Source organism: Homo sapiens, chromosome 10 (genome assembly GCF_000001405.40).
Source record: "Homo sapiens chromosome 10, GRCh38.p14 Primary Assembly".
Classification (NCBI taxonomy): Eukaryota; Metazoa; Chordata; class Mammalia; order Primates; family Hominidae; genus Homo; species Homo sapiens.
In genome coordinates, this window is record NC_000010.11 from 53,606,857 (window position 1) to 53,622,284 (window position 15,428).

The window sequence follows — 15,428 nt, forward strand, 5'->3', positions numbered from 1 at the left end:
TTCTTCTTACTTTCTTCATTAGCATAACATTTAACAATAGTAATTTAATAAATATCTGATTCAATACAATTTGAACACTATATCATGAACTGTATTTAGAAATTGCCAGTAACACTTTTACTAAACAATCTATAGTCATTTTTCAAAACATCAACTCTTTTTTACAAATTTTATCTCATGTCATACGTAGAGTCCTTTTAAAAATAGGGTTAGCAAAAAGGACTTGGTTGCTTTTTTATGCGATGTTTGAATGCAGTCATCTCTGAGACTGGCCTGACTGCTTGATGACTTTCTGTATGCAGTTTTCTGAGTCACTCATGTTAAGCTTTAAACTACTTAAGTTTTTTTTCTGAGCCTGAGAGGAAGAGAAGACATCTGGTCACCAGCCTTTACATAATTAGCCTTTATATTAGAATATTAGAAGACTGCCTTTGCCTTCTGCTTATGTTGAACCATTAAAATCCAATTTTTATATCTCCTTACCACGAAATGTATAAGAACAAATTCTTATTGCCATGGTGGCTTGATATATGTAATAGGGGAGAAACAATGTTAAGAAATGGGAAAAAGCTGACTACCAGAGAGTTTTATAACTTATCATAAATCCCACAGCAATGCATATATTGTTAATCTGTCAAAAGCTCAGATTTAAATATAATGGAATCTCCAAATAAAAAGAAATGTAAAGAAAATTAGATTTGCAATGTCTTAATATTTATGTAAGGAATAGGAGACGTAAACATTGTCATTTCTAAGTCCCCCTACTATACAACCACAAGAAAGATTTATTCAACATTTCTCTTTTTTTTATGGATGACTGACCTTCAAAGTTAGGAATTATCAAGAAAAGAATTTATGCAAAAAATCGGGTCATCTGGCATTTGCAAGAATTGCAAGCAGAAACAAACTTCAGAGTACCAAATATTTAAAAACAGCATTAGCCAGCCTAATTGAGCCAGATTGATACTTAAACAAATACTGAAAATTAGAATGGAACAAAAATGTATTTCAGCGAAGTGCTGTTCCAAGTATAATGCAGTTACTCCTGTGGCAGCCCATAAAATGTTTGATAATAGAATCTGTTTGGCAGAAGGTTTGCTTAGAGAGGAAATATACCCTAATAAACTTGCTCTAGTCAGTTGGAATCCCTGGGAAACAGACCCTAAAATAGAGATTAGCATTCAGGAGTTCTATTCGAAGTGTTCTTAAGATCAATGTCTATGAGTAAAAGAAAGGAAGGAAAGATAGGGCAGAGGATGAAGTGAAGCAGTAAGAACATTTTATGGAATACCTCAGCCAACCCTATGAATAACTCAATTTGGAATAACTTTTCAAAAATCTTTACAAAATGTGTTTTATTTATGTTATTTACAAGAAATGTGTCAGACACAATTTATATTCCTTCTAAGATTCAATCAGCCCCATTCACCTGAAATGCCCAAAGCCAACTGCAAATGCTTCATTTCCTGGTATCATCAGTTTATTCTTCCTCTTACGCTGAGAAGAGGCATCAGAAAACCATTCATTGTAATAGATTCCTTTTTTTCTCAGGCCCTTAAATCTTTATTAGCGGTCAGTAATTTTATGAATGGGAAAACCAAATTTCACGGTTTAAAAGGTTTTTCCAAAATAGAATTTCTATGGAACTTTATCTGTTTGACTTCAGTAACTTGTTATCTCCTTGATATATTCTTCACTGTTATCATAAGTTATTACTAATGTTATATGACAGACATTTTTTTTTGTATTAAACTCCAGAGGCCTACAAGGAATGATGCCACTTCTAAAAAGATCATCAAATAAATTAACTCGAGATAGAGTATTTTCATTTACAGAGGGAAAAATTTTTCTCTTTTAGTTTCAGATTCCACATAAAATCTAACGAGTGATGTCACAATTTTAAAAATAAAAAGATATAAATGAAAAGCAGTAAATATTCTAAATTTTTCTTAAGAAATGGCTCAAGAATACCAAATGCATTGAAGTAAGACTTAAAGCTGCACTCACCTGATTCTCTTTGTAAAATAGTAATAATCATGTGGATTAACTCATAGAATAATGCATTTTTAAGAATCATAAGCTGAATAATTTTAACGAAAAAGAATAGGATTGAAGAATAAGTACATCACACATTTTAAAGGCAAGTAGAGATTTTTGGAAAATATCTACTCATTTACATTTTTACATTGTTTATATTGGGTGTAGTAGTTATCTAGTCCCCAAAAATGACATAAACAATAACAATTTATTAACTCACAGTGGGTAACTCTATAGAAATTTGGGGATAGTTTAAGTGGGTTGTTCTACTTCAAAGTCTCTCACATTATTTCAGTTAAGGTGTAAGCCATGGCTACAGTCATCTAATGATTTGACTTGGACTGGAAGATCTACTTCTAATAGGGCTCATTTACACGGCTGTGACAAAATGCCTCCATCTCTTATGACTTGGCGGCTGGCTTCTTCTAGTGTAAAAGATTAAAAGAGAGAGCAACATGGAAGCTTCATATCTTTTATCAGTCAGCTTCTGATGGCACACTCCAATACCATTTCATATTGATTATACAAGTTGTCCCTATTTTATACGGGAAGACTATAGATGGGTAAAAATAGCAGGAAATAGTGACCATGGAGTGATTTTTTAGAGAATAGCTACTGCAAAGATTTGCAAAATAAAATATTTCCTTACTTTAAGTCACAGTCTAACTTATTTTAAAAAACATAATGTACAGCTTTTAGAATCAGAAGACTTCAGTGTGAAAACTAACTTTTTCATCAGAAGGAAATTATTTAATCTTTAGGCTTAATGTTCTCATTAGAAAAATGGAAGTTGAAATATTTGCCCTTCTTTTTCTGAGTTGATAATGGTCCTTTTAACCAAGATTAAGGATAAATGTCACAGATTAAAATTAGTTTGTTCCCTTATATTCTCTAGAATACTATTAGCACTATTCATCCTTAAGTAAAACTTTTATGGAGGACACACTTTGGTTTTCTTATTGCACAGAGGATTCAATGCAAAACAGCAAATTTATAATTTTAATAACTAACATGGGAAAATATGCTGCTTTTTATATTCAGGATTTTTTATTCATACATAAAAAATTGTACAAATGTATGGGGTACATGTGATATTTTGATATATGCATACAATGTGTAATGATCAAATTAAGGTATTTAGAATATCCATCACCTCAAGCATTTATCAATTATTCATATTGGGAACATTTCAAGTCTTCTAACTGTTTTAAAATATGCTATAAATTATTATTAACTATAATTATTCACTGATAATAACTATATTATTAACTTATTCCTTTAATCTAACTGTATATTTGTATTCATTAACAAATGTCTCTTCATCCCCTCTTTTACTCTTCCCTGACTCTGGTAACTGTCATTTTACTTTCTAACTCCATGAGATCAAATCTTTAAGTTCCACCAGATGAATGAGAATGTGCAATATTTGTCTTTCTGTGTCTGGCTTATTTCACTTAGTGAACTCCAGTTCCATTCGTGTTGCTGCAAATAACAAGATTTTATTTTATTTGTGACTGAATAATACTCCACTTGCATATATACCACATTTTCTTTATCCATTCACCCACTGATGACACTTAGATTGGTACCATAACTTGGCTCTTATGAATAGTGCTACAATAAGCATTTAATATATCAATTTCCTTTCCTTTGGATAAATACCCAGTAGTGAAATTCCTGGAGTGTATGGTAGTTCTATTTTAAGGTTTTTGAGAAATCTCCATATTGGTTTTCATAATGGCTGTACTAATTTACATTTCCATCAACAGCAGTATGTAACAGTTCCTTTATCTCCATGTCCTTACCAGTGTTGATTTTTTTTTCTTTTTAATGATAACAATTCTAGTTGGGGTGAGATGATATTTTATTGTGGTTTTGACTTGCATTTCTCTGATGATTAGCAATGTGGAGCCTTATTTTTCATACACCTGTTGGCCATCCATATGTCTTCTTCTGGAAAATGTGTATTCAGATCCTTTGCCCACTTTTTAATGAGGTTATTTGTTTTTTGCTGTTGAGTTTTTTGAGTTCTTTGTATATTCTGAATATTAGTCCCTTGTTGGATAAATGGTTTGCAAATATTTTCATGCATTCTTCAGGTGGTTTCTTCACTCTATTAATTGTTCCCTTTTCTCTGCAGAAGCGTTGTAGTTTAACATAGGCCCATTTGTCCATTTTATTTTTATTGCCTGTATTTTTGAAGCTTTAAGCCATAAAACCTTCACCTAGATCAACACCCTGAAGTGTTTCCCTTACATTTTCTTCTAATAGTTTTATGTTTTTATGATTTATGCTTAATTATTTAATCCATTTTGAATTGATTTTTGTATAGGTGAGAAATATGTGTCTCATTTCATTCTTCTGCATATGGATATCCAGTTTTCCAAGCATCGTTTATTGAAGAAGATGTCCTTTCTCCAGTATATATTCTTGATGCTTTTGTCAAAATCACCTGGCAGCAAATATGTAGATTTATTTCTGTGTTCTGTATCCTGTTCCATTAGTCTATGAGTCTGTTTTTATACTAACGCTATGATATTTGTAGTATTATAGCTTCATAGTATATTTTAAGGTCAGGTAGTATGATACTTCCCTGTTTTTTTCCAAAATGCTGCAGCCCTCTGGGTGAACATTGTGGTATGTCAGCAGGGATCCAGGAATGTAGGGATGTAGGGACTATTCAGCCTTTAGGAAAAATGTAGCCTAGCAGGGGCTGGGCTCTCAAAATGGTGGTTTGCTGTAGTTGCTTGGGTCCAGGGGGTGCGTGGGACCCAGGGGGAACTCCTTCTCTGGAACAATTATGTGGACTCCTGGCAGCTCCCAGTACTGGTCTCAGAGCCCTTGAGGGGCAAGGGGACTTCCAGTGCCTAGAATTGCAGGGGTTCATAGTGGGTATGTGGACCACTGGGAATCTCTTGCTTACCTTTTCCCTGCAATGGGGAGTTTCCTTTGTCAGCTGATCCTGATCAGCCCAGCTGCTTTGTTTCCCTATTCTCCCATCCCTCCGATGTTTTCTGTCATTTCCCTGCTGAATTCTACTGCTCTCTCTTAGATGCTCTGTTCCGCCTGTGATTATCTACTCACTGCTTTGGTTCTTCTTTGTGGAGGATGTGAATGTCAGGCACCTCTAGTCAGTCATCTTGAAGCCCTCATCTGGCCTCACCTCAACATGCTGTTTTTTAAGATCCACATTTAATCTGTTTTTTTCTTCATCCTACTGGACTTCTTATATTTTTGGTACATCTGATTTTATATCCCAAATAAAAATCTGTTACTGAAATTTGAACATACATTTTGTATGGGATTTGACTAATACATTAGCATCCGTAGACACAAGGTCTATTTACTTTTGCTTGAGCCACTAGTAAATGGCATATCATTATATAATTTACTAAAATATATTTATACTTTGTGGCATGAAAAATTAGTAAAGTATAAAAAGAAAAAGAAATAGACGAAGAATTTACATTATTTGGGCCAGGCATGTTGGCTCATGCCTGTAATTCCAGCACTTTGGGAGGCCGAGGCAGGCAGATCACTTGAGGTCAGGAGTTGGAGATGAGACTGGCCAGCATGGTGAAATCCCATCTCTACTAAAAATACAAAAATCAGCTAGGTGTGGCATCACTTGCATGTAGTCCCAGTTATGCAAGAGATTGAGGCATGAGAATCTCTTGAACTCAGGAGGCGGAGGCTGCAGTGAGCTGAGATCGCACCAATACATTCCAGTCGGGGCAGCAGAGTGAGACTCTGTCTCAAAAAAAAAAAAAAAAAGAATTTACATTATTTGGACAATTATCCTGCTATTTCCACCAGGACTCCCTAACTTAGTAAACATTATATTGTTGATGATGTAATTTAAAATATTTCATTATCACTATAAGTTAACTAATCTATGCCCCAGGGAAACATATTTAACATTTACTTAGTATTTGAAGGCCTCTAGAAAGAAATACAACCCGAAGATATCTCTACATTAAGCATCAAAGCGGTCACTGATCAATAAAAATAATACCCAGAATTTTTTTTTTTTGGTAAAATGAGTGATATTTAAGAAAATGTGATTGAAAAGAATGTATAATCCTTAGGACCTTTGCCTAGTTTCCGCTACTTGGAATGTTCACCGCTGCTAATTTTCTCATCTCATTCAAATCGTTGTTCTAAGATTATTTTCTCATTATAAAAGACTTTGAACTTCCTATTTTAAATTCTACTATAAATTCTCCCTAGCAATCTGAGTCCTCCTTACCCAGTTCTCTTTTTTTCTAATATACTTCTTAGTTTATTTTCTGACTCTTTCCTGTAAGCTTTACAAGTGTATACATTTTTTTTTCTCCTTTTTAATGCTGATCCCCATTTTCTAAAACACTGCCACTCAGTGACTGGTTAGGAAGCACTTTTGGATCAATAAATGAGAGAGTGCTACTTCCCTTTCTTCTCACTTTACTATTACAGTTTTTTATACCTAAAGCTTTGTGTGTGTGTGTGTGTGTGTGTGTGTGTGTGTGTAATGTATCTATAATTTGTGGAGGTTTTCTTTTCTTCCACTTTAAAGTTGTATTTTATTATTACGTCCATGATAAATTTTCCTGTTTTACAAATATGCCTCAAGGTAATAGACAGTAATTGAACTTAGTATCTTTTATCTCATAAAACAGCAATTTTCAAACCTCAATGTGGTAAGAAAACATAGAGGAGTCTGCTAAAATTGCAGCATTTCATGTCATATCCTCAAAATATCAATTCAGTAAGTCTGGGGAGGGGCCCAGAAGTCAGCAGAATAAACAAACATTCCAGATAATTTAGGTAAAGGTAGTTATTTGATAACGGTTTGAGAAATACTGTGGGCTGCCCACAAATTGATAACAGCAAACCCTGACTCTGAAAGATTAACTGTTCTACTGATTTTTAGGTAATAAAAATGTAAAGAATTTTCAGCCTGTTTAACATGGATGGATTAAAATAGTAAAAGACAAATCATTTCTTTGTTTTCTGTTACATTTATTGATTTTTCCTATTAATTTATGTTAAATAACCATTCAGTAATTTAACAAATAATCTGTAGGTTTGCTAGAAATGTTTCCCTATCTTGGCTGATTTTCAGTGATAAGTAAAATTTAAGTTCTACTTTCAGAAGTAAACCTTGTGATTATCCCCAAATGGTGGTGTTTAGACATGGTAATTAAAATGCAGTCATTCATTTTCCAGAGACTTCCAATGATTCGTAAATTCAATCTAAACATAATCCTGTCAGGATTGCTTTAGCTACATTACCGATTCAGACTCTCATCTCAATTTACGTAACTGTTTATGAAGTTAGTATGTTCTATTTTTTAGGCTACATTTCCTTTTATTTGCAGTAGTAATTATTGTAACCAATCTTGACAGCAAGTTGCAAATGAATCTCTCCACTGCTAAAGACAGTTTGTTCTTAGTATAAACAAAATCTATATATCTGCCCCAAATTCATTCATCTGCACTAAAATTTTGAATTACCAAAAAACAGATAAAATAGATAAAATAAATAAAATAAAAGCAAATTAATGTGATCCAGGTAATATATGAAACAAACTACTTTTTAAAAAAAATTTAAATGTAGGGTCTCACTTTGTCACGAGGCTAGAGTGCAGTGGTATGATCTCAGTTCACTGAAGCCTTGACCTCTTGGGCTCAAGTGATCCTCCTACCTCAGCCCCCCGAGTAGCTGGGACTGCAGGTGTGTACCACCACACCGGGCTAATTTTTTCTGTATTTTTTGTAAAGATGGAGTTTTGCCATGTCACCCCAGCTGGTACTTTCTGTTTTTATATCAAATTTGCTATTATTAATTTCTTCACTATTTCTTTAATACAGTTTTTTTAAATGATGAGCACTGCCAAATTAATAAAACTTAAATGTAAGAAGTAAAGGATTTATTTTCAAAATGACCTAGAAAATGCGTGTGAATTGACTTCCTTCTCTCTATACTAGAGAAGTTTTCTATAAAGAAAAAAGAACTGAAGTAATTCTAAGACTAAAGACAGAAGAAAGTCTTCTTTTTCAATTGAAATATTGTTGCAAATATATTTGGAATATTCAGATTATCCCAATAAATATCCCACAGAACTCTGTATTTAGACCCAGCCTAAAATAAATTATTCTGAGGTTTCAATTATTTTAGGGTTGGTTCCTCTATTGCTGTCAAAGGAAATTCAATTCTACAAGCATTTATTGAGTATTCCATATAGAAAACATGTGCCAATTCCTGGCAGGAAAGAATAACCATGCAGGAGGGGAAAGGCCCTAAAATAAAAGTGTTTCTCAAACTAAGGGATAGAGCTAGAATTAAAAATGATTTTTCAGACTGATGTTTCCAAAGAGATAATTATATTTATATAAAGTTTCAAGAGACCATTAATTCCACCTTTATAGTAGCTAACTCATCAGTGACATAAAAACATGAAGTCATCAGTATACTACAAATTTCAACCCTTACTGTTTGTCAAGTTTTGTGTGAAGGACTTGAGACATGAAAACTTAGATGTCTCCAGTATTTGTCTGAGCTACATTCCCTTTCCATATTTCTCCTGTCCTGGAGGGGCTGAAAGTCTTGAAATCAAATTGCTCCAATGGGAAGTTCTTGCAAAGGATTTGGAAGGCAAAAGAAAAACAAAAACTGTCCTTCTCCTCCTGAAACCTATGGTATAGATGGTAGAGCTTGGTAGATCCATAGTTTTGCAGAGGTCTCAGTAGTCTAGTGGAAATTACTCCTCTTGGGGCTGCAGCAACCTCTGACAATTGGTGCTCCCTTATCTGGAAAACTTGAGTAAAACCTGAGAGCCAGGGATGACTTTCCCTGAACTTTGCTTCTCTATCCCTTACAATAGTTTGTAAGCACTTAATTCCTTGTGCAAACTTTCCTCCTTCATAAATCCTGAAAGATTTATTTTCCAAACCCTACCTTGAGACTGATTCTTATAAACAATTCTTTGTCCGCAATGTTTAGGCATATTTAGGCCATGTTCAGAATTAATCATCTTTTCTTTTCCTCTGGAGAATCTACAACACTAGGGTTATGTCTAAACCAAAAAAAAAATGTAATAAAAATATACTTAAATTTTGACAGATAAGTATGAAATAATTGACATGAAATGGCCCTTTATGTAGATAAAGATTCCTTAAAAACTGCGCTGAGTCAATATAAAGAATGGAATTCAAATTGACACCTTCATATTTAAGCAAGCAAATAACCAGATTTGCTTTTATTTGAGCAGTTTATATAATTTTTTAAAAAAGCTTAAAATATTTCTAAAGATAATATGAAACATTTTTATTTTAAGTTTAATAAATACACTTATTTTTCATAGTAAGTATACAGAGTTTTGCTGGCCTTTAGACATTATATCCATTTATGTGCTGTACCAACAAATGCTCTGATGATATCACTGTAAATTATATCCGAGTACAGATGACAGAAGAGAATCATAGATCGTAGCATATGCATGTATCCTCAAGCAGAATTTGTTATTACATTTGATAGAGAAGCAAGTTAAACTTTAATCCCTACAGTGTTCTTTGGATGGTCTTGCTTTTGTTTATTTATTCTAGCATGAAAGTGTAAAATATTGTCTATATCCTTAAGGGTCTCAAGCTTATTTTCAAAATCCTCATTTTGTTATTCTATAGCCTGACTCAATTCAGCTCAAAGAAACACATTCCCTTAGGTGTTATAATGGTTAGTGTACAAATTATTTGACAACTTGGTCATACAGCTGTAGTAACATAGATACGCTCTCTTTCAGTACATATCCAGGATGTATAGCTCCATCAAAAAGAGAAATGGCAGTAATATAAGAACACGTGTAGTAAATGGGGCAGTTTAGCAAAGCGTTTAGCGATGATTTTGCTAGAGATTGCAGTAGAAGGAACAAAAATTTCACGTATCATGCCTGCAGTAATCTTTCTTGTAAACATTTACAATGAGGTGGTTAAAGGACCATTTGGTCTTTATGCCTGCCATTTCACCATTTAAGGCTTTGTACACTAACTTTTCGGCAGCAAATGATTATGGTTTAGAAGACAACAACATTTTAATGTATTGTAATGTATTTTTAAGAAAAGAGCAGAATGTAATTTATCTATGGTAAATGTGATAATTTGAGAGTATTTGTTATCTAGAAAATCCTATTACAACCACTAATTTGAAGTACACAAGACAAGTCAAATTTTGGATTTTTAATGTAAATGATCTTTATATGTTAGGCACTATATTTACAACTGTATTTAATGTTCAAAAAACAAGTTCAATTTCTGAGTTAAATGTATGATTTGCAATCATTTTTTGAAGCAAGAGATAATTTACATATATAACACAAAAGGACATATTTAAAAGTATATTTGTTGTAATTTCTAAATCATTCACTATTTATATGAGCTATGGGATATAAGTTACAATACCTTGCTAAATCTACTGAATTTTCAAGCTTAAAGTAGTCTTCATTTGTAGTGAATGCCTTTTTCTCTAATTAAACAGAAAAATTCAGAGTCAAATCTTTGAAGTGTGTGTCCATATGTAATATACTCAGAGATTATCAGGCAAGCCACTTACTGTAGATGAAAGCCTAAGGGAGGTGACTTAAATATAGTGCTCAGTTGGAACAGAAGGTGGAAAAAGGGGTAGAGACCTGTAAGTTCCCCATAGTTGAGGAGGTGGTCCAAATTAACACGGTGGGGGTTGGAATTTTCCTCTGGAAAATTAATATAGAGAAATATGTGGGAAAAGTCAGAGGTTTGGTGCATCAGTTTTTAGAACAAAGAGATAATCTAGGCTGGGCACAGTGGTTCACACCTGTAATCCCAGCACTTTGGCAGGCCGAGGTGGGAGGATCCTTGAGCTCAGGAGTTCCAGACCAGCCTGAACAACATAGTGAGAGCTCGTCTCTACTAAAAAGCAAAAAAAAGTAGCCAGGCACGGTGGTATTTTCCTGTAATGCCAGCTACATGGGAGGACTCTTTGAGCCCAGGAAGCAGAGGTTGCTGTGTGAGCTGTGATAGCATCACTGCACTTTAGCCAGGCAACAGAGCAAGATCCTGTCTCAAAAAATAAAAACAAGGCAGCATAGCTGCCCCAGATTTCAGATCCAACGTAGATGTTATGCTATGCCAGACGAAGGCTTTTTTTTTTTTTCCCCCACAGACCCATGTATTTCATTGAGAACAGAGAAAAAAAATGCAGGCACATCATTTACAATGGAAAAATAAGTGAAGCCCCCTTGGCTTAGAACTACTTTCTCTGAAAAGATTTGATAAACACATCTTCCAGGAGCTGGTATTTGAAGAACCGTATTTTGGTTTATTGGTCTTAATAAGTATCTCTGATGTGGCACCTCGTATCTTTCTCCAGAAAACGTTCTTTCTGAAACACAAAAAATAAATAAATGGTTATAGGTTATCTCTTTAAAATGCAAGAGTTTTATGAAGCTTTAACTGTATTTTGTAGTACTTGTTTTCAGTTTTTGAACTCTGTACTAGTGTATCTTATCCTCTTCTGATATATTCTTTTCTCTTTCTTTCCAAGGTCTTTTCTGGAGTCTGTTTTCTATAGAACAGTATGTCCTTCTGAAAATGGTAGTGGCCAGGTCTCTTACCTGGGTTGCAATGTTGGAGAGATTATAACATTTTCTGTCCTTGAGTTAGCTTTATATATAACTCTGTTCCCTCTGGAAGTTTAAAATTATCCTCCAAAAAAAAACATAAGCTTTCAATTCTTTTAGTATTCTTTCTAAAAAGTCAATTTTGGATACACCAAATTGACTCGAAGATTTCCCACCAAAAAATTATTTTAAAACCCTTTTTTTGTTCACTTAAACCTACACACTCCTTCAGAGTAAAATTTTTGACCTGAGTTCTCCAAATGCTGTCATTATTCTTTTATTATCTACTCATAATCTAGAATCACACCATGGAGTCCATTAATTTTTTAGATATTTTGGAATTTATTTCTCAACTTGTTGCTCACTCAGATAAATTATCCTTATTGTTAGGAGGGTTTCCAAGGAAAAAAATAATAGTACATATAATATCTCAGAAAGTTTAAGAAAATCGGGGCTAGCCTTTGGTGCTTAGAATTATATTTCATACCTATCACATATTTCATCATTTTTTTTTTTGAGACGGAGTCTCACTCTTGTCGCCCTTATCATGTATTTTTAATTAAAATAATTAGATTTAGACATGTATGGGTATTTGAGTTCTCTTGCTACACATTGTCTTAAATGGCCAACTTTTTCCAACATCTATGTGCTGTTTAGATATTTCCATTCTAAGATTATTATTCAATTCTTTGGTAGTCTTGTTTTTCTTATGCTGAGTAGTGTACCTCATTTCACTTACATTGGCCTTCAATAGTAACTTTTGGGCTATTTTTCTTGTTGGCCAATGGATGTCATGGAGTAAGTTCTTTCTAAGGGACCACAACTGGCAAGCAAGTCACTTTTTTCAGATGAAATCTGTTTTAATTGACCTTTGAGGCTTTATCTGATTCACAAAAATGATGGATTTTTCATCTCCATGGTGGATTCTAATTCTAACTTCATAGGTTTTGCAGTTGCCCTGGTGGCCCCATATGAAACCAGATCCTCTGAGTGTGAACAAGTCATAAGATAACGAATTTAAAATCTAGGGCAGGGAGATGGCTGAGACCATAGAAGCCAATAGTGATGCAGGATTTTTTGCTCCTTAGCTCAGTTAAATTTGGGTTCTTGTCTCATGACCAGGGAGAATTAGGCACTCAGGCACATTGAAGGGTGAGGAGGGTGGAATTTATTAAGTGAAAGGAAAACTCTCAGCAAAGAGGAGGGAGTCCTGTAGGCAGGTTTTCACCTCCCCAATTGAATACTAGGGCCACAATACAGGAGCTGAAGAGGCCAGGCTCCTCCCTTGCATAAGACACAAATTCCTGGTGGCTCCACCCCATTCCCCCAGTGGATGTGGGCCTCCAGTTCTCTGCAGGCATGCCCGGGCAGATCCCCTGTGCAGGTTCCCTTATCTGCACAAATCTTCTGGCGTAAGCACTTGTGGGACAGGTTGGAGATTCTCCAAGGACCCTCCTCTGTCTGCCTAGGCATTTGGCTGTCTTTGGCCTCTATCAGTAGGGCATGGCCACTGTAGCAAGTGTGGCAAAGGGCTGGCCTGAAGCCTGAGTCCTTACTTTCTTCCTTAAACTCAGCTATAAGTGCTCAAAGAGATCTCACCAAAAACACAATAAATATATCCATATGGAATAACACAAAATGTTCCAATAATACAAAAGGAGATTGGAAGAGGAAAGAAACTAATTTTTTTTTAAAAAAAAAGAGGGAACAAGTATAAAACAAGGAATAATATGGTGGACCTAAATCCAAACATGTCATTAATTACTTTGAATGCAAACTGTCTAAAAATGCTAATTAAAAAAGAGATGCTGTCAGATTAGATTAAAAGTAAGACCCAACAATATACTGTTTATAAGAAACTCACTTCATATGTCATGTAATAAGTAGGTTACAAGAAGAATGGGGAAAATATACTATGCAAATACTAAATAAAAAGCTGTAGTGGCTTTAATAATATCAGATTAGACTTCAGAAAAAAGAAAATTACCAAGTATGAAGAGGCGTATTACACAGTGAAAAAAGGGGCTATTCACCAGGAAGGCATAGCAATCCAAAATAAGTATGTACACATGTACACACACACACACAAACACACAGAAATGACAGAAGCAATATAATAATCCAAATTTTAGTTAGAGAGTTCAGTGCTCCTTTCTCAGAGATAGAACAGACAGAAAATCAGCAAGGTCATAGAACTAAAACCACCGTCACTTCAACTGGATCTAACCGACATTTATAGGTGCACTACATCCTCCAACAGCAAACTATTCTCTTTAAGTGCACCTGCATTATGCACCAAGGTAGACCATGTCATAGGTCATAACACAACCATGACAAATTCAAAATAATAGAAATCATAGACAGTATGTTCTCTGACCATAATGGAAGTAAACTAGAAAAAAATACTGGAATAACTCCAGATGCTTGAAAATTTAACATGCTTCTCTGTCAAACATTGATTAAATACAAATTCTCAAGGGAAATTTAAAATACTTTGAACTGCAAAAAAATGAGAATATGGCATAGCAAAGTTTGTGGGATACCATGGAAGTAGTGACTAGAAGGATATGTATTATATTAAAACGCTCATAAAAGAAAAATATATATCCAATCTAAAATTTGAGCTTTCACTTTAAAAAAAGCAGAGCAAAATAAACCCAGAGAAAGGTGAGAGAAGGAAATAAGGACAAAAATGAATAAAATTGGAAAAAGGAAGACAACTGAGAAAATCAACAACACTAAAAGATGATTCTTTAAAAAGAACAGCAAAATTGATAAACCTGTAGCAAAATTGACAAAGGTAAAAAGAGAAAAAATACAAATTGCCAATATCAGGAATAAAACCAGGATTTCATTACAGATTCTGTGGCCACTAAAAGGATAAAAAGAAATATGAAAAACTATACGCATTATTGCAACTACCTACATGAAATGGATTAATTCCTTGAAAACCGCACACTACCAAGATTCAACTATATGAACTGAATTATCTGAATAGCCTTATAATTACTAAAGAAATTCAATCTATAATTAGGGAATGGGGTATTAGGTTAACATATTTTCAGAACTAAAAGGAGACATGAGAAGAAATCAAAGCTAGACACTGCCATTTAATCAAGACTTTTCTACCAATCGTTTTATTGCTATACAAAATTAGTAGAAAAATAACAGACCATAGAAATCTATGTTTTTACATTGTGTGTATCATAATTTTACTTATTTAAAAATTATTCTTGAAGAGCAGATTTAATCATGAATATACTAAGGACCAAAGCAATTTAACATGAGTTTGTGAGATAAAATATGGAATGTCTAGTTTGATGTAAATTTCGGAGAAACAATGAATAATATTTTTAGAATGAATATATTCCATGAGACATTTGTAACACATACCAAATAAATACAAACACACACCAAATCAAAAACTCAAAATTAAGTAGAATCTGATAAAGAAGAAAGATTTTCATAAAGTATTTCACCTAGAAATTTCAGGAAGTCCAAAATGTATGAATGATCTACATGGGAAATGTTCTATTTTTAATAGATGATGCATAGAATAAAAAAAAAAAAAAGCACTTCCAAAATACGAACTAGTCTTCTTAAGATTGATGATATTATAATCAATCATAAATCATATGATTAAGAATAGATTGTATTTAAATTCTGGGAAAAAGCACTACTAAACAATAAAAATCAAGAAGTGGCCAAAAATAGTTATTCCTTGGCTATAAATTACTCTACAGTATTTGGAAACAAATG

The 15,428-nt window shown here is 33.8% G+C and overlaps 1 annotated feature.

The window, feature by feature from the left end:
• Positions 12,551-13,052: an enhancer, noted in NCBI's record as "H3K27ac hESC enhancer chr10:55379167-55379668 (GRCh37/hg19 assembly coordinates)". NCBI's record gives its function as "activates a minimal SCP1, AML or CMV promoter by ChIP-STARR-seq in naive H9 embryonic stem cells {active_cell/tissue: H9 hESC(naive)}" and the evidence as "EXISTENCE:reporter gene assay evidence [ECO:0000049][PMID:30033119]".